Here is a 24,837-nt window from a genome sequence, read left to right as displayed (position 1 = left end):
CTACACCTGGCCTATAAACCACAATTTGTTAATACATCCGTTGATGAATAATTTGGGTTGTTTCCATCTTTTAGCCATTGTACCTACTACTTTTAGATAATAACACAAGCTGTGAAGTGAAAAAGGAAGCATTCCTATTTTTTGTTTGTTTGTTTTTTGAGATACAGTCTCACTCTATCACCCAGGCTGAGGTGCAGTGGTACGATCTTGGCTCACTGAAAACCTCTACCTCCTGGGTTCAAGTGAACCTACCACCTTAGCCTCCTGAGTAGCTGAGATTAGAAGCATGCACCACCATGCCGAGCTAATTTTTAAATTTTTTTGCGGAGACAGGGTTTCACCATGTTGCCCAGGCTGTTCTCCAACTCCAGGCTCAAGCAATCTGCCCGCCTCAGCTTCCCAAAATGCTAGAATTACAGGGGTGGGCCTCTACTCCCAGCCTTAGCATTCCTGTTAATTGTTAAAAGGAGTTACCTGACTTTCCAGTATTTTTCAGAAGATTTAACATTTTATATTCAAAAGGGTAAAGAGTAATGCAGCAAACACCCACATTTCCTAAACCCAGAATCTACAGTTTTCTACAATTACATTCAGCTTTATTTTTAAGATATACACTGGGTGCAGTGGCTCACGCCTGTAATCCCTGTACTTTGGGAGGCCAATGCAGGTGGATCACCTGAGGTTGGGAGTTCGAGACCAGCCTGGCCAACATGATGAAACTTCTTTGCTACTAAAAATACAAAAAATTAGCTGGGCATAGTGGTGCACACCTGTAATCCCAGCTACTCAGGAGGCTGAGGAACAAGAATTGCTTGAACACAGGAGGCAGAGGTTGCAGTGAGCCGAGATTGCGCCACTGCACTCCAGACTGGGCAACAAGAGCAAAACTCTGTCTCAAAAAAAAAAAAGAAAGAAAGAAAGAAAGAAAAAAAGATATAAACGTCTTGGCGCAGTGGCTCACACCTGTAATCCCAGCACTTTGGGAGGCTGAGGCAGGTGGATCACTTGAGGTCAGGAGTTTGAGACTAGCCTGGCCAACATGGTGAAACCCTGTCTCTACTAAGAATACAAAAATTAGCCAGGCAGGGTGGCACACACCTGTAATTCCAGCTACTCAGGAGGCTGAGGCAGGAGGATCGCTTGAAACTGAGAGGTGGAGGTTGCAGTGGGTCAAGATTGTGGCCACTGCACTCCAGCCTGGGTGACAGAGTGAGACTCCGTTTCAAAAAAAAAAAAAAAAAAAGATATAAACATTATGGATAACATAAAATTCACTTTTGATCATCACTCATCCCAACCATTTCTCACTCCCCAAAGGCAACCATTATCATTTTATGTGTATCCTTCCTATTTTTTAGTATTTTATTTTTCATGTAAATAATGTCAAATAATATATTTGAAGTTTCTGTACTTTTTCTTCTAATATTTTGAAATAGTTCCACATTCTTTTTGTATTCTCAAAACATGAATTTTCCAAATGGAGATAACAGGTTAGGAGTTAACAAGGCTTTTTCCATTAAAAAATGTTCCAAACTTTTTTTTTTTTTGAGATAGGGTCTCACTCTGTCGCCCAGGCTGGACTGCAGTGGTGGGATCTTGGCTCACTGCAACCTCCACCTCCCAGGTTCAAGCGATTCTCCCACCTCAACCTCCCAAGTAGGTGGGAGTATGGGAGTACAGGCACGTGCCACCATGCCTAGCTAATTTTTGTATTTTTAGTAGAGACAGGGTTTCACCATGTCGGCCAGGCTGGTCTTGAACTCCTGGCCTCAAGTGATCCACCCGCCTCGGCCTCCCAAAGTGCTGGGATTACAGGCATGAGCCACTGAGCCCAGCCATGTTCCAAACTTCGGGAAACTTCCTTATCTTCCTTCTTCCTTCTCTTAAACTAACAGATGAAGAAAACAGTTTACCAACATTGAATTTCTTTCATTGAAATCCAAATACTCACTGGTTTTAAATGGATAACAGAACTGTTAGACATCACTGTGTGGTCTCCCTCCATCATGTCTAGCTCACTCTTGTCATCTGAGACATCTGGAAGACTGTTAACACTACTGCTTTGGCTGCTGGCACTGATGGACATGCTGGGAATGGATTGATTACTTCCAACACTATTAACTGTTCCTGTCCGGCCAACACCATGATCTTGTTCCTAAGAGAAAAGGACATTCAGTTCAGTTCAAATATTAATATATATCTCTCTCTTCTGAATTCTTGACTATAAGCACCTAGCATACCACTTGGCAGACAGTCTCAGAAAGTTGGTCTATCATGAGAAATTGCTTTTATTTTCCAAGACCAGGAAGTTTATCAACTGTTAGTTTATTGAAAAACAAAAATGACCAACAAGTAAATCACAAAAAAATTCAACCAACTGTCTAAAACAAAGTCAGCTGATCAGATTTGGGTGATTTTCAAAGTACAATATTTTATCTAAATTGCTTGATATTTTAAAATAACCATTTCTACAGTACATCTCATGGGGTATATATAGAGATCCTGCTCATTTCTCAATAATTCTTGGTTAATACAAATCTCTCCTTTTAAAAAAAAAAAGCACTGGCTATTCTGGGCACAGTGCCTACGGCGTAGCCCTGCTCCATAAGGAGCATTTAAAAAAAAATAAAGTACTAGAAACTTCATTGTAGTTGTTATTCTTCTTTATTAAATCAGCCTTTCATAAGTAGATTCTTCTTTCTTCTGGAAAACATAGTCTCTAGATTACCTTTCTTGTCTTTCTTTTTTTTTTTTTTTTGTATTTCAATAGGTTTTTGGGGAACTCTAGATTATCTTTTTACCACCAAATAATTTAACATTAATTCCTACCTCTTCTTGTGTAAACTAACAATTACATATTATATTGTTTCAAATCACAATCATAAGAATGTTTTTCTGATGTAAACGGGCAGCTGTAGTATCTGGGCACTAACATTACAGTAGTCTTACCATACCAGAATTCTTTAAGATATGCAGAATTTAATAAACACAGACACATATATAGATAGGGACTTTTCTTACATCCCCAGCCTAACACAGATGTTGTTAACAATTTAACTACATAGAATTTTATTAATTTCACTTTATTAAAGTATTTCACATATCTGAAATCATCCCAATTTTCTAGTGACTATCATTAAGAACTAAAAATAATCCCCAAACCAAAAATTGTAAGTTTATAAAGTCTTATATTTGACAGTTCATTATTTATTTAGTGACATTAAAAAGAGAAAAGAAAGTATTGAGCACGGTTTCAGAATACAAAGTGGTCTCTCTCGATGGAAAGCAATAGAAAAGAATAAAATTTTATGAATTCTGACGGGGCAAAGAAGAAACAAAATATTTAGAGGGAAAAAATAGCTTTACACATAATATACTTAATATGTATATTGCTTCATGAGGAAGTTCTGTAATACTTCTATAGCAAATCTGTATTTCCATTCTCCCTAAGAGGCAACACAGAACTTGGCCTTGAGAGTAAAAGAGGTATGAATTTGAACCCATGTTCCTCTACCTACAGTGAGCAACTTAATTTATTCTGAGCCTTGCTTTTGGTATCTGTAAAATGAGTATTTTAGAACAGTGTAGGCCAGGTGCGGTGGCTCACACCTGTAATCCTAGCACTTTGGGAGGCTGAGGCAGATGAATCACTTGAGGCCAGGAGATGGAGAACAGCCTGGCCAACATAGCGAAACCGGTCTCTACTAAACATACAAAAAATTAGTTGGGCGTGGTGGCGCACCTGTAGTCCCAGCTATTCGGGAGGCTGAAGGGGGAGAATTGCTTGAACCCGGGAGGTGGAGATTGCAGTGAGCCGAGATCGTGCCACTGTACTCCAAACTGGGCTACAGAGCAAGACCCTGTCTTTAAAAAAAAAAAAAAAAAAAAAAAAAGGTGTAGATGGAATGAAATCAAGTTTCTTTGGTGACACAGTCGAATGCCTACTAACTTTCTCATGACTTCTGAGAGAGTACATTCAACCTTCACATTCTGTAATTCAAGAACTTCCAAAAGCACATCATATGGAACTGGACAATCAGTCAAAAAAGGGCTCAGGCTGGGCACAGTGGCCCATGCCTGTAATCCCAGCACTTTGGGAGGCCGAGGCAGGTGGGCCACCTGAGGTCAGGAGTTCAAGACCAGCCTGGCCAATGCGGTGAAACCCCGTCTCTACTAAAAATACAAAAAATAAAATAAAATAAAAATTAGTCAGGTGTGGTGGTGCGCGCCTATAATCCCAGCTACTCGGGAGGCTGAGGCAGGAGAATCGCTTGAACCAGGGAGGTGGAGGTTGCAGTGAGCCGAGATCATGTCATTGCACTCCAACCTGGGCAACAAGAGCAAAACTCCGTCTCAAAATAAACAAAAAAATTAAAAAATAAAAAAACAGGTTCAGTGGTCAAGAAATTAGAGAAGGCCTAGACTAAACAAAGATGAACAAGTTTCTTTAACGAAGGACTTCTCAGAACCTTCATTATGACATTGTGTACCATAAAGGGGTTGGATTTAGAGCATGCAATCTAACATGATTAAAGACTTAAAAAAAACTTTTTTTTTAACTTTTCTTATTTCTCCAAGAAAAAAGGACCTTTTTTTATTCCTAACTGGGATTTTATAGGACCAGTGTTGAGAAAATACAACCTGGAAACCCTTGGTATATAAGGTAAATTATGGCAGGGCAAGCTGCATAAGGAAAGAAACCAAAAGTGAAAATTCAATATTGGAGTCATTTTTTTATCTCTTACCTCTTCTTCTTCCTGTGCTTCTACTGCTGGTCCATTATGTGCCTCCTGGAAAAGGAGTTTCTTCATCTTTCGATACTGCAGATTGTCCAGCTCTCTTACTGCATCCTTTGTCCTCTGAATGAGATCTATTAACACGGTTTCAGGGCGCTCCCGAAGAACAAATATGTGCTAGATAGGGTAGAAGGTAAAAGGTTGATTTTTTTTTCAATTAGTGACAAGGTACTCCTTCTCAGACCCTAGAGATAATATCCTATGATAGATAATGCATGTAATCTATAGCTATATAATTCTGTTAAATTTCTTCTATTTATAAAATTATCATTTACATACATATACTCTGTGCATACATAACTATTCTTTTTCTTTATTTTGAACATAATATTTTTGTTGGCCAACTAAAAATGCAGAGTTAAAATAACTGAAGGGTCTAAACACTAAGAATTAAGTCCAATCAGAGCTCTCAAGGTTTACATATTCTAAGAACTGATGATTTCACACAAAAGACATGTTCAGCTCTGAGTCATATTTGTTTCAACAGGAATGTATTTAATGATGGTGAATTATGAAAGATGAATTTAGACACTAGATATTGGGTTCCTTTATATGCTGCGTGAACAATATTCTTTATAAAATACTAACACAGACTAAAAGCCATTAAATTATTACTTTTTTATTACTAGCATTTAATATAATTTCACCTTATCAAATACAAAAAGTAGAAAAAAACAATTCCACCATTATGATGATCACAGTTACATTGTAATATACTTTTCATAAATTTTCTATGTATAAAATGTTTTGTAGATACATAGTTAGCATGTAAATTCCAGAAAGACATATTCTGCCATCCCTTGAGTTCTACGAAATATCCTTGAATTCTTTTTTTTTTTTTTTTTTTTTTTGAGACGGAGTCTCCCTCTGTTGCCCAGGCTGGAGTGCAGTGGCGCGATTGCGGCTCACTGCAACCTCTGCCTCCCGGGTTCACACCATTCTCCCGCCTCAGCCTCCCAAGTAGCTAGGACTAGAGGAGCCCGCCACCACACCCGGCTAATTTTTGGTATTTTTAGTAGAGTCAGGGTTTCACCGTGTTAGCCAGGATGGTCTCGATCTCCTGACCTCGTGATCCGCCCACCTCGCCCTCCCAAAGTGCTGGGATTACAGGTGTGAGCCACCGCGCCCAGCTATCCTTGAATTCTTAAGACAACTTTTACCTCCTTTGTTAGCTCAAATTTATTTCTTTTTTATGCAAAGAGTTGTAACTATGAATCACAGCCCACTGTAACCTCAAACTCCTGGGCTCAAGCAATCCTCCCACCTCAGCCTCTCAAGCAGCTAGGACTACAGGTGTGCACCACCATGTCCAGCTAATTTTTATTTTTTGGGGGGTGGGGGGTAGAGTTAAACTCCTGGCCTCAAGTGACCCTCCCACCTTGGCCTCCCAAAGCATTGGAATTACACCACTGCGCCCAGCCTCTATACACTATTTTATTCAATTTTCACAGTCATAAGTATTATTATTTTAGCTGGGCGCAGTGGCTTATACCTGTTATCACAGCACTTTGGGAGGCCAAGGCAGGCAGATCACTTGAGGCCAGGAGTTCAAGACCAGCCTAGCCAATAGTGAAACCCTAAAAATATAAAAAATTAGCAGGACGTGGAGGCATAGGCCTGTAATCCCAGCTACTCGGGCGGCTGAGGCACGAGAATCACTTGAACCTCAGAGGCAGAGGTTGCAGTGAGCTGAGATCATGTAACTGCACTCCAGCCTGTGCGACAGAGCAAGACTCTGTCTCAAAAACAAAAAAAAAATAATTATTATTATTTCAAACTCATAAACATAATGCCTGTAGAATATTTCATCAAATGTTTGTGCCCAAATCACTTAACCATTACTCTAATTTGGGGCAGCTATTTCTAATTTTTAATTCCATGATAAATAGCTTCATACATTAAATTTTTTTATTAGTTTTTTTCTTTATGATAGACTGCAACAGAAATGTAATTAGTCCAAAAGATAAGAAGCTCATGATAACTATTTCCTATCATTTCAAATAGGGCTGTGATAATATACACTAGGGGCCAGGCAAATGAATACTATTAATATATGCAGACTTAGGATCTAATCACCAAATACTAGTGGGCTGGGTTACTACTACCTGAGTTAGAAAGGCTTCTTTTGCTTCTATTTGGCAAATGTAAGAAGCCAGTCACATTCTTCCTTTTTTTTTTTTTTCGAGATGGAGCTTCCTCTTATTGCCCAGGCTGGAGTGCAATGGTGCGATCTCAGCTCACCACAACCTCTGCCTCCTGGGTTCAAGCGATTCTCCTGCGTCAGCCTCCTGAGTAGCTGGGATTACAGGCATGCGCCACCACGTCCGGCTAATTTTGTATTTTTAGTAGAGACAGGGTTTCTCCACGTTGCTCAGGCTGGTCTCGAACTCCCAACCTCAGGTGATCCACCCGCCTCGGCCTCCCAAAGTGCTGTGATTACAGGAGTGAGCCACCGCGCCCGGCCATTCTTACTTTTTCTTTAGTTTGATGTGTACCACTATTTACAATATTGTCTTCTTCTTTCTTTCTTTTTTTTGGAGACACAGTCTCACTCTATCGCCCAGGCTAGAGTACAGTGGCACGATCTTGGCTCATTGCAACCTCTGCCTCCTGGGGTTCAAGCTTTTTGTGCCTCCGCCTCCTGAGTATTTGGGACTACACGAGTCCACCATCACACCCAGCTAATTTTTGTATTATTAGTAAAGACAGGGTTTCACCATTTTGGCCAGGCTGGTCTCAAACTGCTGACCTCAAGTGATCCGCCCGCCTCGGCCTCCCAAAGAGCTGGGGTTACAGGCGTGGGCCACCGTGCCCAGCCTACTATTTACCATATTGTTTCATCCAAAAACATAAAACCTTATATTTATTTATTTTTTATTTTTTTGAGAAGGGGTTTCGCCCTTGTTGCCCAGGCTGGAGTGCAATGGTGCAATCTCGGCTCACCACTACCTCCGCCTCCCAGGTTCAAGCGATTCTCCTGCCTCAGCCTCCCGAGTAGCTGGGACTACAGGCATGCGCCACCACGCCCAGCTAATTTTTGTATTTTCAGTAGAGACGGGGGTTTCAGCATGTTGGCCAGGATGGTCTTGAACTCCTGACTTCGCGATCGGCCTGCCTCAGCCTCCCAAAGTGCTGGGATTACAGGCGTGAGCCACCGCGCCTGGCTAAGCTATGTTTTATCAACTTTGAAATAAGACATTGTTCCACATGAATTAAAATTTATAACTCATGATTATATTCTTGCACATATTAAGTATTGAGCTATTTGAATACTTAACTACATATTCTATTTAGACATGGTAAGAGCAGCTAATCAATTTGAAAAACAAAATACAAAAATTTAGTATCTAAGAAAAGTTATCAGAAACAACGGCATAAAAAACTAGTATTTTATTAAAAACTAGTAGAGTATACTTAATCCTAATTCAGAATCAAATAATAAAACACATTCTTTACAATCATTTCTTAGGGGTAAGAACAAATTTAAAGTATAATGGAACTGGTGGCTCATGCCTGTAATCCAAGCCCTTGAGAGGCTGAGGCAGGTGTGGATCACTTGAGCCCAGGAGTTCGATATCAGCCTGGGCAATGTGGCAAAGCCCCACTTCTAACAAAAATACAAAAATTAGCCGGGTTCAGTGGCATGTGTCTGTAGTCCCGGCTACTTGGGAGGCTGAGGTGGGAGGATCGCTTGAGCCTGGGAGGTCAAGGCTGCAGGAGACGTGATTGTGCCACTGCCACTCCAGCCTGGGTGACAAAGTGAGGCCTTGTCTTAAAATAAAATAAATAAATAAACTATAATAGAACTGACCTTTAAAAGTTCCTCTGATGTAGGTCGATCTTGAGGGATTTTCTGGAGGCAAGAATCTACAAAGTTGCGAAAATAATCAGACCTATTGTAAAGGAAAGTATCAAGTGAACACATTGCTATTTCCTTTAAAAATACATTCACAAATCAAGACACGTGCCTATTGGTGGGAGGGGAAATGGAAAGGGAATGATTAAAAAAAAGCAGAGACTATACAGTTTCATATAAGTCTATGAAGATCTATCTAAAGCAACCAATGAATGTTCACCATTTTCCAAAGATAAATTCACACAGATTACTTTAAAATCCTGCTCCTACATATTTAAATATCACAACTCATATTACTATATCGAGGCAAAATGAGGGAAGCCTATCTACTTTTTTTTTTCTTTCAAACCCAAGATAACATTCCTTTCTATTTTCCTTTTTGCTAAGCCTTTCTTATAATAAGCTCTTTCTTATTTGCCCCTTGGATCTTCTTCTATATAGCATGTTTCAGAATATCACTCTATCTGCTCTGGAGAGAGTGTTTTTATACCTGAGTATTTGGTGCCCCTGAGCAAATGGATAAGACTTCCATTAAACCTAGAAAACCAATTAAGATATTTTTAAAAACGTTAGAAGTCTGTAACACATTATTATATAGTGTTATTGACAAGAGTTCAGTAAGGCAGTAAATAATTACTCCATCAATGTTTGTCTCCAATATTCAAATAAGATTTTAAGTTCCTTGTAGGCAAGAATTCTTTTATAAATCTCCAAGTCTCAAACACAGTGTAAAGACAGTCTGTGTTCAATATATTTTTTACTTATATGTATCAACTATGGTTTCAATGTTTTTGTTTCTCCAAAACTGATGTTGAAACTTAATCTCCAGTGCAACAGTGTTGGGAGGTGGGGCCTAATGCGAGTTGTTCAGGTCATGAATGGATTAATTCTGCTATAAAAAGGGCTTGTGGGAGAGGGTTCTCTCTCTCCTGCTCTCTGCCATGTGAGGACACAATGTTTCTCCCCTCCAAAGGATGCAGAGTTAAAGGCACTATCTTGTAAGTAGGAGGACCAGGTCCTAACCTGCCAGTGCCTTGGTCCTGGACTTCCCAGCCTCCAGAAAGTGAGAAATAAATTTCTGTTCTTTATAAATTACCAAGCCTCTGATACTCTGTTACAGCAGCACAAAATGTACTAAACCATACCATAACACTAAACTCAGTGTCAAAAGATTCGTTCTATATAATTCTAAACACAAAGTAGAGTTATATAGAAAGAATCTTTTGGCACAGAGTTTTAGCATTATTAGTTTACTAGAGTTATATGGCACATTCTTAAGTGGCAAAGACTTATATGAATGTGCCATAATTATGTACTCTTTAAATAATTAAGTACCCCTAATTTATATGTCTGTGAATTTCAAAATATTTATTAAATATGCTAAATATCCCCCTAGAATTTATCGAATGCTAGGTACACCTGAGGAATTAATTTTCTACTACAGTTTTATACTGTTGATAAAAATCCTAGTTTTCTAAAATTGTCAATCTGTTGTCCATAAACCTCTTTACATGAATGAACTAAATTTTAACAAATCAAGGAAGTCCTAGAAGGAATATCAGATAAAACTGAATAACAAATATGATAATTAGAGTGATCCCAATATTTTTAATTACCTGGTAATTTTGATAAAGTCAAATCATTTTACTTATATTTTTATATCATATAAATTATAAACCATCCCTCCAATCAAATATCACTATAGGTTGTAATAATACATATATTTTAGTTATAAAATATTAATGCTTAAATGCTATTTATTATTTAATTAGGATTAGGTATTCCTAAATTTAAAGAGAAAGTAAAATACAAATTCTTGTAAAATGAATACTTTTTGCATTCATGTGACATCATCCATCCTTTTCTGAACTCAGTTATACGTATGCCATGAAATGGAAACATGATAAAGAATAAATATATTTAAAAGGGTAAAATACATCTATTTTAATATCTTATAAGGTGATACATTTTACCTAACTGAAATTAAATCACTTTGATAACAGATTATGAAAAAGCATTTCATTTATTCAACACTGAGCAATATATATATTAACAATACTCACCATTCATTAGACTGTAGTGTAGGGGATTCATTTTGGGCTATGTGATATAAGGCACTCATTGCATTCATATTAAATAAAGGAGGCTTCCTTTCCGCTGTAAAAGAAAGGAAACATTCCTGTTAAAATAGGTTCCAGGGGTACTCAAGTCCTGGGCACGTTTTTCCTTTTTTTTTTTTAAATGATTTTATTTTGAAACAATCTTAAACTTACACAAAAAATTGCAAGTAGAGTTCAAAGAGCTTTTTTTTTATTTTTTTTCTGAGATAGGGTCTTGCTCTGTCACCCAGGCTGGAGTGCAGTGGCACAATCTCGGCTCACTACAGCCTTGACCTCCTGTGCTCAAGCAATCCTCCCACCTCGGCCTCCCGAGTAGCTGGGACCACAGGTGTGCACCACCATGCCCAATTAAGTTTTGTATTTTCTGTAGAGATGGGGTTTCACCATGTTGCCCAAGATGGTCTTGAACTCTTGAGCTCAAGTGATCCTCCCAACTCAGCCTCCCAGAGTGCTGGGATTACAGGTGTGAGCCACTGCACCCAGCCTCCAAGAACTTCTTCAAGTGAATCAATTGAGAATAAATTGCTGACCTGAAGCCTCACCATACTTAATATATACTTGAGTGTATATTTCCTGTAAAGAAGAACATTTTCCTAAAGCATCGTAATACATCCATTAAATCAGGTCATTTAATAGTGATATAAGACTACACTACATTCAAACTACATTCAAGTTTCATTCAGATGTCCCAATAATATCCCATGTAGCAATAATGAGCTTTGAGTATTGTTAATCTTCAAGGAATTTGTTCATTTTATCCAAGGTGTCAAACTTATTGACAGAAAATTGTTCATATTTCCCCATTACTCTTTTAATATCCGCACTGATTTTCTCTACTGTTTTTCAGTTTTCTATTCAACTGATCTCTGCTTTGATCTTTATTATCCTCTACCTTCTGCTTATTTTGTGTTCAATTTGCTCTGTTTTAGTTTAAGGTAAAAGTTGAAGTCATGACTTTGACAAATTGAAGTATGGTCGCCTTTCTGTATCTGTAGGTTCTGCATCCACAGACTGAACCAACCGAAATATTTCAACCATAGACTGAAAATATTTGGCGAAAAAAAATTGTTTTAACAATTAAAAAATTAACAATTATTATTATTATTATTATTATTATTATTATTTTTTGAGATGTGGTTTCACTCTTGTTGCCCAGCCTGGAGTGCAATGGCACGATCTTGGCTCACCACTACCTCCGCCTCCCGGGTTCAAGCGATTCTCTCCTGTCTCAGCCTCCCGAGTACCTGGGATTACAGGAGTGCGCTGCCACGCCTGGCTAATTTTATATGTTTAGTAGAGACAGGGTTTCTCCATGTTGATCAGGCTGGTCTCAAACTCCCAACCTCAGGTGATCTACCCGTCTCGGCCTCCCAAAGTGCTGGCATTACAGGTGTGAGCCACTACGCCCAGCCAAAAATACAAATTTTTAAGACAGCTACTTACATGGCATTGATATTGTATTAGGTATTATAAGTAATCCAGAGATTATTCAAAGTATATGGTAGGATATGCATAGGTTATATGCAAAAACTACACCGTTTTATATGAGACTTAAGCATCTGCACATTTTGTTATCTGAGGGGGTTCTGGAACCAATCCTCTGAAGATTCTGAGATATACAGGACTCCTGAATGTCCCTCAGTTTGAGATTTTCTGACATTTCCTATTATTAGAGTTAGGCTAAACACCTTTGGCAGGAGTATCACAGAGGTAATGCTATAATTTATATCCTATGAGGCGGCACATGATTTTGAGAAGTTCTGTTACTGATGGTATTCATTTTGATCACTTGGTTAAGGCCCATGTCTGCCAGTCTTCTTCATGATAAAGTTTCTCTTTTCTCCTTTGTAATTAATAAGCATTTTGTAAGATGGTACTCTGAATCTACATAAATATTCTGCTTCTCATGAAACTTTCAACTTTATTCTTTTATTTATTTATTGTATGGAGTCACAGATTTTTATTTTATTTAATAAGTTATATCATTTATTTTGATGTTCAAATTATCCCATATTTGAACAGTAGAAACCTTTTTAAACTGGCTTGTGTCTTTTGGACATGGCCCCATTATTATTTGGTTACTTTCTTGCTTTCTGGTACACTAAGATGTCCTAGCTTCATCTTGTGCTTTCCCTAGCCCAGACCCTGGATCAATCATTTCTCCAAGGGGCTGTTGTGCTAGGTGTGCTTACTGCTACTGGGGTGTCACTGCTCTCAGACACGCTCAATGAACAGAGTTGGGAATATATACATGTACATAATACATTTATACACCTATCTGTACAAATACATGATGTATATTGAATACTTATATTTGAAAACAATAAATTTACTACAATATCTCAAATTCCAATCTAACACCATAGTGTTTATTTCTAGCTTTCTCTGACAATGAGAGAAACCCTGCTCTCATTATCCTTAATACTTTTTTTTTTTTTTTTTTTTTTTTTTTTTGGAGACACAGTCTCGCTCTGTTGCCCAGGCTGGAGTGCAATGGCACAATCTTGGCTCACTGCAACCTGTGCCTCCCAGGTTCAAGCAATTATCCTACCTCAGCCTCCTGAGCTGGGACTACAGGCATGGGCCACCATGCCCAGCTAATTTTTGTATTTTTAGTAGAGACGGGGTTTCACCATGTTGACTAGGCTGGTCTTGAACTCCTGACCTCAGGTGATCTGCCCGCCTTGGCCTCCCAAAGTGCTGGGATTACAGGCATGAGCCACAGCAACTGGCCCTTAATATATTTTTCTATCTGATAAATTCCTCCTATGTAACCAATATCCCATCTTTGTGACCATCTTCTCTCTGCTTAAACAGATGCCCTCCTTTCTCTGTTCAAATTCTGAATCCCCATTCCACTTCACCTCTTGGTCACCAAGCCTTTTAAATGGTATACCGTCAATATATCAAACTAGAACATATCTTTTTAATTTTGTCATTCACTATTAAATTAAAAATCTCTCAATTTTATCAAAGAACATTAAACTTGCCTAAAAATCACAGAAGAGATTCACCAAATTTACAATGTGTTAGACTCTCATAAATTCAAATAACTTTTTTTTTTTTCTTGAGTCAGATCTCACTCTGTCACCCAGATCAAAGTGAAGTGGCACGATCTCGGCTCACTGCAGCCTCCGCCTCCCCGGTTCAAGAGATCCTCCTGCCTCAGTCTCCCAAGTAGCTGGGATTACCGGGATGCGCCACCACGCCCAGCTAATTTTTGCGGTTTTAGTATAGATGAGGTTTCACTATGTTGGCCAGGCTGGTCTAAAACTCCTGACCTCAAGTGATTTGCCCGCCTTGGCCTCCCAAAGTGCTGGGATTACAGGCATAAGCCACTGAACTGCACTCGGCCAAATATTTTTTATCTCAAATTTTTATAAGCTACTACTAAACTTTTTTTTCTTTTTTTGAGATAAAGTCTTGGTCTGTCACCCAGGCTGGAGTGCAGTGGCGCGATCTTAGCTCACTGCAACCTTGACCTCCTGGGCTCAAGTGATCCTCTCACCTCAGCCCCCAAAGCAGCTGGGACTACAGGTGCATGTCACCATGCCAAATTAATTTTTTTTGTATTTTTTGTAGAGATGGGGTTTCTCCATGTTGCCCAGGCTGGTCTCCAACTCCTGGGCTCAAGCGATCTTCCCACCTTGGCCTACTAAAGTGCTGCAATTAGAGGCATGAGCCACCACTTAATTTTAAACCAAATTTATTTTAAGTTAGAGATACTATTTCTTATTATCTTGTGCATGTTTCTAAAACGTCTCTACCCATAAATTTGGATTGCTTCTGTAAAATTAATACCTCCAAAACTCAAGAGGAAATTAGATGAAACTGAGATAGAAGAACTGAACGGTCTAAAAAGTAAATCTCAGAAACAATGTCCAGTGATAAAATTTCCAGAGAAAGAGTTCAAATTATATATACTTATACAGAAGAGTAATCACCAAAGGGTGAGATAAATGGGTTCAAATTTTACTATTTTCATTTATTCCTCTCAATGGGAAAAATGACTATGTGTACTTTTGTTTCCTGTTTTATTTTAATTTAATTAATTTGTTTGTTTAGAAAGGGCCTCACTCTATCACTCAGGCTGAAGTGTAGTAGCATAATTATAGCTCACTGCAGCCTCAAACTCCTGGGCTAAAGGGGGTCGTCCACCTCTGCCTCCCGAGTAGCTGGGACTACAGGTGTGGGGTTACCATGCCCAGCTTATTTGTCTTGTTTTTGGTAGAGACAAGGTCTTGCTATGCTGCCCAGGCTGGTCTCAAACTTCTGGCTTTAAGCAATTCTTCCGCCTTGGCCTCCCAAAGTGCTAGGATTACAGATGTAAGCCACTGTATCCAGCTGAGAGTAGAACTATGAATAATTTATTTTCTTTTCGCTCCTTTTGTATTTCTATAATTTTATACCCTAAACATATATTTATGTAATTAAAAATGGTAAATTATATTTTTATAAAGATTATATAATCATGCAGCTTGAATAACAAACTAAGAATTTTCATCAGATTAACTATAAAGAAACATGTAAGCAAACCCACTCATGAAAAATTATGTATTATAAGATTTCTTGGTATTAAGACATAACCAAGTAATTTCAACCTTTGTGACACTAAAGCAAGAGTCATATCTATTCACAACTATGTTTATCAAGACCAATAATGGTAAAATTGATGTAAATTTTTTCTATTACCTATACTGTAAGAAAATGGTTTGCTTTAATTTGCTATCCTTAACTCTTCCAAAGTAGAAAAGGATATTATCATAAATATGTGTCCCAAGACTGAATCGGATTTGCATTGAGAATCATACCTCACATCTATAAACCCAGCACTTTGGGAGGCTGAGGTGGGTGGATCACCTGAAGTGAGGAGTTGGAGACCAGCCTGGCCAACATGGTGAAAACCTATCTCTACTAAAAATAAAAAAATTAGCTGGGCGTGGTGGCAGGCACCCATAGTCCCAGCTACTTGGGAGGCTAAGGCAGGAGAATCCCTTGAACCCAGGAGGCGGAGGTTGCAGTGAGCCAAGATTGTGCCACTACACTCCAGCCTGGACAACAGAGCGAGACTCTGTCTCCCTCCCACCCCGCAAAAAAAGAAAGAAAAGAAAAAAAACGAAAATCATACCTCTAGACCTGTGTTATCTAAAAAGGTAGCTAACTAGCACATGTGACTATTTAAATGCAAATGTATTTAAATAAAATTTTAGAAAATTCACTCCTTTAGCTGAAAAGCCATAGCTACAGAACACTTCCTTCACTGCAGAAAGTTTTCCTGGCCTGTGCTACTTTAGACCTTTCACCTAGAACCATAATCAGGCTTAAAATATAGTTCCTGACTTAGCACTTCAAAATATTCAAAACATTTGTAAGTAAAATGTTTAAAGTTATTATGAAAGATTACAAAAGTGAAGATACCAAATGAATGCCTAAAATTCTAAGAAATTATTTCAAATATTTCTCCCATGCAAAATTATTTAAAGGCAGTCACATCTAAAGTTCCTTTAAGTATAAAAACTTCTATTGTGAAGGAACTCTTTTATGAAGTAGAATAAAAAGAAGCTAGAAAGGAGAAGCCATTTCACGGAAACTACAAAGTTTAGGTAGATTTTGTTCTAAGCACAACAATGAGCCAACAAATACCTTCTAATCAAATAAATCTTAAAATATATCAATGAAATCTAGCAGGTCCATTAATGCAATTTCACTATCACTGAGGGGCACATGTATGCATCGGCCAGCATTAAGAATGTAAAAGGACCCCATGGGCAAAGAGTACATTAACCAGCTTCTGTACATGTATACCCAGGCTTCTTAAGAAATTAAATTAGGACCTATGGGTAGGAAAAAGAATCATAGGTAAAAGAATAGAGATTAGAGTTTAGGACACCTAAAGGTACTTTCAAATGGAAGAAACAGTTTTGCAAACTTCAAATTAAGACAAAGAAATCCCAAGTATGACATGGTAATCTCCAAATCTCTGTTTGTTGATGTTGTTAAACTATAAAACAAACAGCAGCAGGATGTGGAGCTTGAAGGGAGTAGTTAACAGAGGAATTCCAACAAAAGTGAAAATACTTAAAGATTACATTTTAGGGAAAAAAAACTGGACTGCAAGGTAGTCTGGTTGTAATAGAAATCGTAACTTTAATCTACTGTGTAATAATAAGCAAGATTTTACCTTCATTTTACCTCATTTTCCCTATACTTATTTTAGAAAACTACTGACAAACTCGAGTAGATAATGATTAATCAAAATTACCAACAGATTTTACTTTTAATGTATTATTTTCCATCCTTAGTCACTCCTTTTAGAATGGTTTAGATGAGCGCAGTGGCTCATGCTTGAAATCCCCCCACTGCGGGAGGCTGAGGCAGGAGGATAGCTTGAGCCCAGGAGTTCAAGACCAGCCTGGGCATCATGGCGAAACCCTGTCTCTGCTAAAAATACAAAAATTAGCCTGGTGTGCTGGTGTGTGCCTGCAGTCCCAGCTATGCAGGAGGCTGAGGTGGGAGGATTGCTTGATCCCAGGAAGCAGAGGTTAGAGTGAGCTGAGATTGCACCACTGTACTCCAGCCTGGGTGACAGAGCAAGACCATGTCTCAAAAATAAATAAATAAGTAAAATTTAATGCAATGCTCTTATAAGAAGATAAAAAGGAAAAGACTATTGGGCTGGTAGACCTCCATTGGGAAATCCAGAGCAAGAAGACGGCCAGCATCTTCAATTACAGTGACAGTTTATTGGCTCACAGAAGTTATGATGGTCCACTCTTTTTAGCACAGTTCTATTTATGAACAACTTAACAAAATGTGTGCTTAAAATCAAACTGCTACAGGAAATTCAGTCCAATCTCTCTCTCTCTCTCATTGCAAGACCCTGCTACAGTGATGCATATACCTATGGATCATGGCCCCTGTTGAATGAAGTCGGCCTTACCGTCTTAAAAAAAAAAAATATGTATATATATATATATCAAACTGTTACAAAATGGTATGTAGGTATGACAGTCTGACATCTAATTTCATCCCTAATTAAAAAAAAAGTAGTAACTACCCCAGCTAGTTATGAATGGCTTACAGATCTTCTATAGCTGGTAAATCTGGTAATCATAAACATATTCTAGGTGTTTAACAAATACTCATTAATGTTAGACATAGATTCCTCAAACTTAATTAAAACCACAGTGGAAAATTATTTTAGATATAATGGAACAGAGCAAATATAATATAGGTAACCCTAATATAAATAAAACTTACCAAATAACCAAAGTGAAAACCTTAATAAATGTATTGCCCCCCTTATAAAGTGACATTTAAGATAAAAATCTATAATTTTTATAGATTGGTACAGAAATTGAGGTAAAACATTGATCAAAACTTAATCCATAGTAATGAAGAACAATGCTTACCTAGTTCAATACATGTTATTCCAAGAGACCACACATCTACTTTGCCATCATATTGTCCTTCATCCATGGCTAAAATTACTTCTGGGGCCATCCTAGAACAAAACGTTAATTTAAATTAAAGATTTTTTTTAAAAAGTATTCTATCCTTTGAGAATGTAACAGTCATCTACATGGAGATCACTGGTTTGAATTCTAGCCAATATATCTGGACATAAGAATTTTTATAACGGGAACTAAGTGCATTACAGGTTGTGAGGTAAATATTTAGCAATGCATATATAGTGTGAGATTTATGTATTTATTTATTTATTGTATTTATTTATTTTTTTGAGACAGAGTCTCGCTCTGTCACCCAGGCTGGAGTGCAGTGGCGCAATCTCGGCTCACTGCAAGCTCTGCCTCCCGGGTTCACGCCATTCTCCTGCCTCAGCCTCCCGAGTAGCTGGGACTACAGGCGCCCGCCACCATGCCTGGCTAATTTTTTGTATTTTTTAGTAGAGATGGAGTTTCACCGTGTTAGCCAGGATGGTCTCGATCTCCTGACCTGGTGATCCGCCCGCCTTGGCCTCCCAAAGTGCTGGGATTACAGGCGTGATCCACCGCACCTGGCCCATAGTGTGAGATTTATTTTCACTATCCATCATTATCATGTAACAGCCACCCCAAAAGAAAGAGGCTCCCAAGGCAGAATTATATTTTGCATCTGCTCAAGTTTGCAGATTATAATATTTCATATACTTTAGGCCAGTGGTTCTCAAATATTTTGGTCTCAGGATCCCATTACAAAAGTCTATTTTTTGGCCAGGCACAGTGGTTCACGCCTGTAATCCCAGCACTTTGGGAGGCTGAGGTGGACAGATCACGAGGTCAGAAGTTCCAGAAGCCTGAGCAACATGGTGAAACCCCATCTCTACTAAAAATACAAAAATTAGCCGGGTGTGGTGGCTGCTGTCTGTAATCCCAGCTACTCAGGAGGCTGAGGCAGGAGAATCGCTTGAACCTAAGAGGCGGAGGTTGCAGTGAGCCAAGATCACACCACTGCACTCCAACCTGGGCGAGAGAGCAAGACTATGTCTCAAAAAAAAAAAAAAAGTCTAATTTTTGCTTAAAAGATTGAATTTTACTATTGGCAACAAGTATTGTCCGTTGTTTTCCTTGAAGTTATAAGCTCATGTCATTTATTAAAGAAAATTATCTGCCACAATAACCAAGACTGAATAATCATAGTTTGTTTGTGTCTTTCTTTCAAATAAAAATGGTGCTCCATGATAAAAGTGGCTAGGGCAGCTTGCAACTCAATCACACAATTATCAATCTTATGGGCATCTTATTTGTAAATGAAGCACTAATCACTAATTCATGTCTTCAATTAGTGTCCTACATTCTTTTTTTAAAATTTTAATCTTTTTTTTTTTTTGAGAGACAGGGTCTCACTCTGTCGCCCAGGCTGGAGTACAGTGGCACAATCTCGGCTCACTCCAACCTCTGCCTCCTGGGTTCAAGTGATTCTCCTACCTCAGCCTCTCAAGTAGCTGGGACTACAGGCATGCACCACCATGCCTGGCTAATTTTTGTATTTTTTGGTAGAGATGGGGTCTCACCATGTTGGCCAGGCTGGTCTCAAACTCCTGACCTCAAGTGATCTGTCTGCCTCGGCCTCCCAAAGTTCTGGGATTACAGGTGTGAGCCATTGCACCTGGCCGAGTTTAACATTCCTGACAGTACTTTACCTTACACTTCATTTGTATTTCATGTTAAACATAGACAGACACTTAAAACAGCTGCTGACTGCTTTAACTATTCTTACCAATACGGCGTTCCCACAAAGGAATTGGCAGGTGATGCCATGGAAGCAGAGCCAAAGTCAGCAAGTTTCACCTGGCCTGGTTCTGTCAGAAGGATATTTCCTGCTTTGATATCTCTAGGTTTAGGGAATACAGAAAATTACTTAACTTTCCCTCAATAGATTATGTTTAAAACGATAAAAATAAAACAAGAATTCATAGGATAGAGAAAGAGAAATCAAAATAATTAAGTGCTGGGGTAATCTCACAATTGGGATAAGGAGAATTAATATTCAAATTAGAAAACAAAAAACTACAGAATTCAAATAAACATATAGTAATAATTTTCTAAAAGAGAAGACAAATAGCAGTAAAAAAAAATTAGTTCATTGGAGCATAGTTTATATTTTAGTTTCTGTTTATTGGTAGAAACAATGGTTTTTAAAATATATTGCAATTAGCAAACAATCTCTTCATCATACGTAAGATTTCTGAGTATCCATACTTAACTTAAAAACAAAAAAGAAAATATAAAAGAACCTTATTCTCCAAACTTTTTAAAAGACTTATTCAAAATAAATAAATACATAAAGATGTATTCGTATCATTTCCAAACGTCAGCATAGTTTTCCTAAATATAAAATAAAAACTGAAATATATGGATAATGTAGTATCAATGATCCCAAATTTACTTTTCTGAAATAGCAAACATACTGTCTATATAAACTAAGAAAACATGTATTTATATAATAAGACTGTCCATCTAATTAGCATTATAATATATACTTAATCATTCAAAAATTAAAATAGAAATTAAAGTGCTGAATTTCCAAGCCCTTGTTAATTCTCACTATAATATTTTAGAGCATAACACGAAGTGAATCTATTTTTCCTCCATTTGATTTTTTTTAAATGGAGAGGTATCTTAAATTTGAGAAAACCTTAGGTTGAAATTCCAACTATGGCACTCACTTATTTACTAGCTTGTGGGTATCTCTCAGATCTTATCCTCATGTTAAAAAATGATAACCTATTAACTCACAATGACTCTATTATATAGTTTAAAACTCACTTATTTACTAGCTTGTGGGTATCTCTCAGATCTTATCCTCATGTTAAAAAATGATAACCTATTAACTCACAATGACTCTATTATATAGTTTAAAATGTACTGCCTGGTTCATATATGTAATAAGAAAATGCTAACTTTCTTCTAAAACAGCTAGAACCAATACCAGTGCCAAAAATACATTATAAAATGTTTTAACTTCAAAGTTACTATCCATTATCAAGGATTATCAAGGACCACAGCTCAAAAGCATAAGGAGTCTTAAGCAGCTTCTGTTTTTTTTTTTTTTTGAGACAGAGTTTCACTCTGTCACCCAGGCTGTACAGTGGTACAGTGTACAGTGTGTACAGTGGCACAATCTCAGCTCACTGCAAACTCCGCCTCCCGGGCTCAAGTGATTCTCTTCTCTCAGCCTCACGAGTAGCTGGGATTATAGATGCCTACAACAAAGCCCAGCTAATTTTCATATTTTCAGTGGAGACGAGGTTTTACCATATTGGTTGGCCAGGCTGGTCTCGAACTCCTGACCTCAAGTGATCCACCTGCCTAGGCCTCTCAAAGTGCTGGGATTACAGGTGTGAGCCACCTCGCCTGGCCTTAAGCAGCTTTTATTCGTCCATGTCATAGAATCAATGGAATAAATATGTCATTATCAGTTACCAAGAAGACAAAAGATCTAGATTTAGTTCTAGCTCTATCTACTCAGCTTTGCAACCTTTAGGAAATTAGTCACAAATTGAGACATCAGTGATTTTACCGGTAAAATGAGAAAGAAAAACTGTATGATTCTCTAATGCCCATTCCAGTTTGCAAATTAAATGATTCTATAGCTAAATTTCTACCACAAATCTAGAAAGTATACATATTTTTACAAGGTCCAGCAGCACATATAGGCAAAGATAAAAATTATCCTAGTGAGATAAAGTATACAACTATGTTCATTTTAGGACATGAAAAATCTAAAAAAATATGAGCTTATATTATTTTATTTGGCTTTAACCAATAAAAACTTTAGAGTTAATAAATTCTAAAGTTGGTATATGCAACAAGCCATTTACTTATCAATATATAATTTCCAAAGCACTTACCTATGAATCATAGTATGAGAATGTAAGTAGGCTAATCCCTGAAGAGCACCATGTGTAATTGCTGCTATTTCCACTTCTTGTAATGGCTTTTTGTGAACTTAAAATTTATTTCAAAATAATTAATACACAGAACATTTTTGTTAAAAAAATACATATCTAATACATGGGGCAATTTTTAAAAACTGATACTTAGCAAGAAGAGATTTATTTTCCAAGATGATAAAGATTATTAAACTTTATAACTTGTATGCAGTTGTGTCAGTTGTTAAAGTACAGTTCATAGCCAATTCTTCTCTTAGCTAACGATATTAAATAATTATTTGGTGATGTAAAAACAATAGTAACAGAGTTCTCTCTTTATTCTCACTTATCTTTGGTTTGAACAAGAGGAGCAGAATGACAGAGAATTCAGAAAAATACTTGTAAAGTCACAATGAGAAAACATGACTATTTTAAGCTACTGTATAACATATAATATTTAATAAGGACAGCATATACCATGCTGAGAATTTGAACAAGACTAAGAGTTCTGCTCTTTCTGGAAAGTTTTACATTATTTGGTATTAATATCATTTAAATAATGTCTAAATTATCATTTTATTCTGTGAATACTTTTTAAAAAATAATCAAAGGGAACTTACCTTCTAGTAAATCCGAAGCAGATCCTAAACAATATTCCATTACAAGCTACATGGAAAAGTTATAAAAGCATTAAAATATATTATTATAAAGATTTAATATAAATTTAAGATAAAATAAGTTCACACAGTAGATCAAGAACATAGTTTGAAGTAAAATTCTAGTCACCATTTACCTTAAAAAAATAGTTATATAGATATTACTCAGAATAATATATTTTTAAAATTTTTTAATAAAAAATAGTTATGTATTCAGTGATTTGTTAAATGCATAAAGTCAAGCCAATGATACATTAATCTTTTAATAATGCCAACATATAATCACTTCTATAAGCTGTGTATTTCATATATAATTACTAATTAAAATTATAAAGAAATACACTATTTCTTAAAAATGTACTATTCCATTACTACAAACCTATAGTAACAATATTGATCATCGTTAGAAGACAGAAAACTGTGTTCTCTAGAATTATATGTATAGTCAGCCCTTCACATCTGTGGGTTCTAGATTTGTAGATTCAACCAACTATATATCAAAAATAATTGAAAAAATAAAAAAATTGGCTGGGCACGGTGGCTCATGCCTATAATCCCAGCACTTTGGGAGGCCGAGGCAGGCAGATCACCAGGTTAGGAGATTGAGACCATCCTGGCACACACGGTGAAACCCCATTTATACTAAAAATATAAAAAATTAGCTGGGTGTGGTGGTGGGTGCCTGCAGTCCCAGCTACTCGGGAAGCTTAGGCAGGAGAATGGCATGAACCTGGGAGGCGGAGCTTGCAGTGAGCCGTGATTGCGCCACTGAACTCCAGCCTGGGCGACAGAGTGAGACTCTGTCTCAAAATAAATAAATAAATAAAATTTTAAAAAATGACAATATAACAATAAAAATAAAACAAAAAGCCAATATAACGTAACAACTATTTACATGGCATTCACATTGTGGTATTATAACTAATCTACAGATGATTGAAAAAATAATAGGTGGATGTGCCCAGGTTATGTGCAGATACTCCATTTTATAGAAGGGATTTGGTATCCTGGGGGTGGGTGTCCTGGAACCAAATCCCCCACAGATACTGAGGAAAAACTATACAAAGCTTAGGTTACAACTGTTTCTTTGAAAGCAAACACAGAGCACCTCCTATGTGCCAGGTATTTTTTATATAGTAACCAATTTAATCCTCAGAATAATCTTATGAGGTAGGTCCTATTAGTATCCTTGTTTTATGGTTGGAGAACCCTGAGAGGCAGAGAGGTTACCCATCTAATGTTACTTTTTCTTTAATCATAGCCTCAATTTTACAAGTCACCACTACCACTACCAAAACAAACTGGATAAAAATGCACCAAACACTACAAATCTAAATCTACAGTACGTATACTAAAATGATACTTAGCTGTGACTTATTAATTATTCAAAATAAGGGGCCATTCCTGGTAACAAAAGGGCAAAATAAATTTCTACTTCTTATAATAAAGTGCAACAATTCTCTATCTTTAGTGTTATTCGACCAAGGAATCGTGATCAGCTCAAATTTCACCAGGATTCACCCAAATTTCATCATGATCTTTCTGGTTAAATGCATTACAGTACATTTATGTCAAGAAAACATATGCTAACTTTCAACCTCAAGTAACATGATTGTTTTCACAATGTTTGAATGGTACTACTAAAACTGTCATAGGACATTTTATCATACATACAAAGGTCAACAGAATTCTGAAAAATCTCTGCAGTGAGACTTGCAAAAGTTCTATTATCTCTTACTGCCTACAAGTTCTAGGAAATATTGCTTGTTTTCTTTCAGTACGAACTAACATTTCAGGTGTTTTTGCATGCATTTACACAACCAGTATGAGATATTCTGAATTAATTCATTATAAACCAAAATCAGCTAAAACTGCAACAAGGGGAGAACAAATACCAACCCATGCTGTGTGTTCACGTAAATAACAGCCTTTGTATTCTATACTGTTGGGATGTTTTATTCTTTGTAGAAACTTGACTTCCTTAATAATATCCTGCCATTTCTGTGGGGAGAAAAAAGGTAAAGAATTATGAACA

The 24,837-nt window shown here is 37.2% G+C and overlaps 1 protein-coding gene across 2 annotated transcripts in view; it reads right to left on the bottom strand.

Moving 5' to 3' along the window:
- The window catches only part of TAOK1 (TAO kinase 1), a 161,541-nt gene that overhangs the window by 51,431 nt on the left and 85,273 nt on the right, over window positions 1–24,837 (bottom strand). For both annotated transcript variants that reach the window (NM_020791.4, NM_025142.1), the window contains exons 4-12: window positions 24,702–24,803; window positions 22,767–22,812; window positions 22,126–22,222; window positions 19,992–20,105; window positions 18,185–18,276; window positions 10,716–10,809; window positions 8,608–8,689; window positions 4,746–4,913; window positions 1,952–2,155 (exon numbers count right to left, since the gene is read on the bottom strand). In NM_020791.4, the coding sequence (NP_065842.1) occupies window positions 1,952–2,155; window positions 4,746–4,913; window positions 8,608–8,689; window positions 10,716–10,809; window positions 18,185–18,276; window positions 19,992–20,105; window positions 22,126–22,222; window positions 22,767–22,812; window positions 24,702–24,803 (999 nt within the window). The remainder of the gene's footprint in view (window positions 1–1,951; window positions 2,156–4,745; window positions 4,914–8,607; window positions 8,690–10,715; window positions 10,810–18,184; window positions 18,277–19,991; window positions 20,106–22,125; window positions 22,223–22,766; window positions 22,813–24,701; window positions 24,804–24,837) is intronic.

Source organism: Homo sapiens, chromosome 17 (assembly GCF_000001405.40).
Source record: "Homo sapiens chromosome 17, GRCh38.p14 Primary Assembly".
NCBI lineage: Eukaryota > Metazoa > Chordata > Mammalia > Primates > Hominidae > Homo > Homo sapiens.
This window is presented reverse-complemented; position numbering and strand designations above follow the sequence as displayed.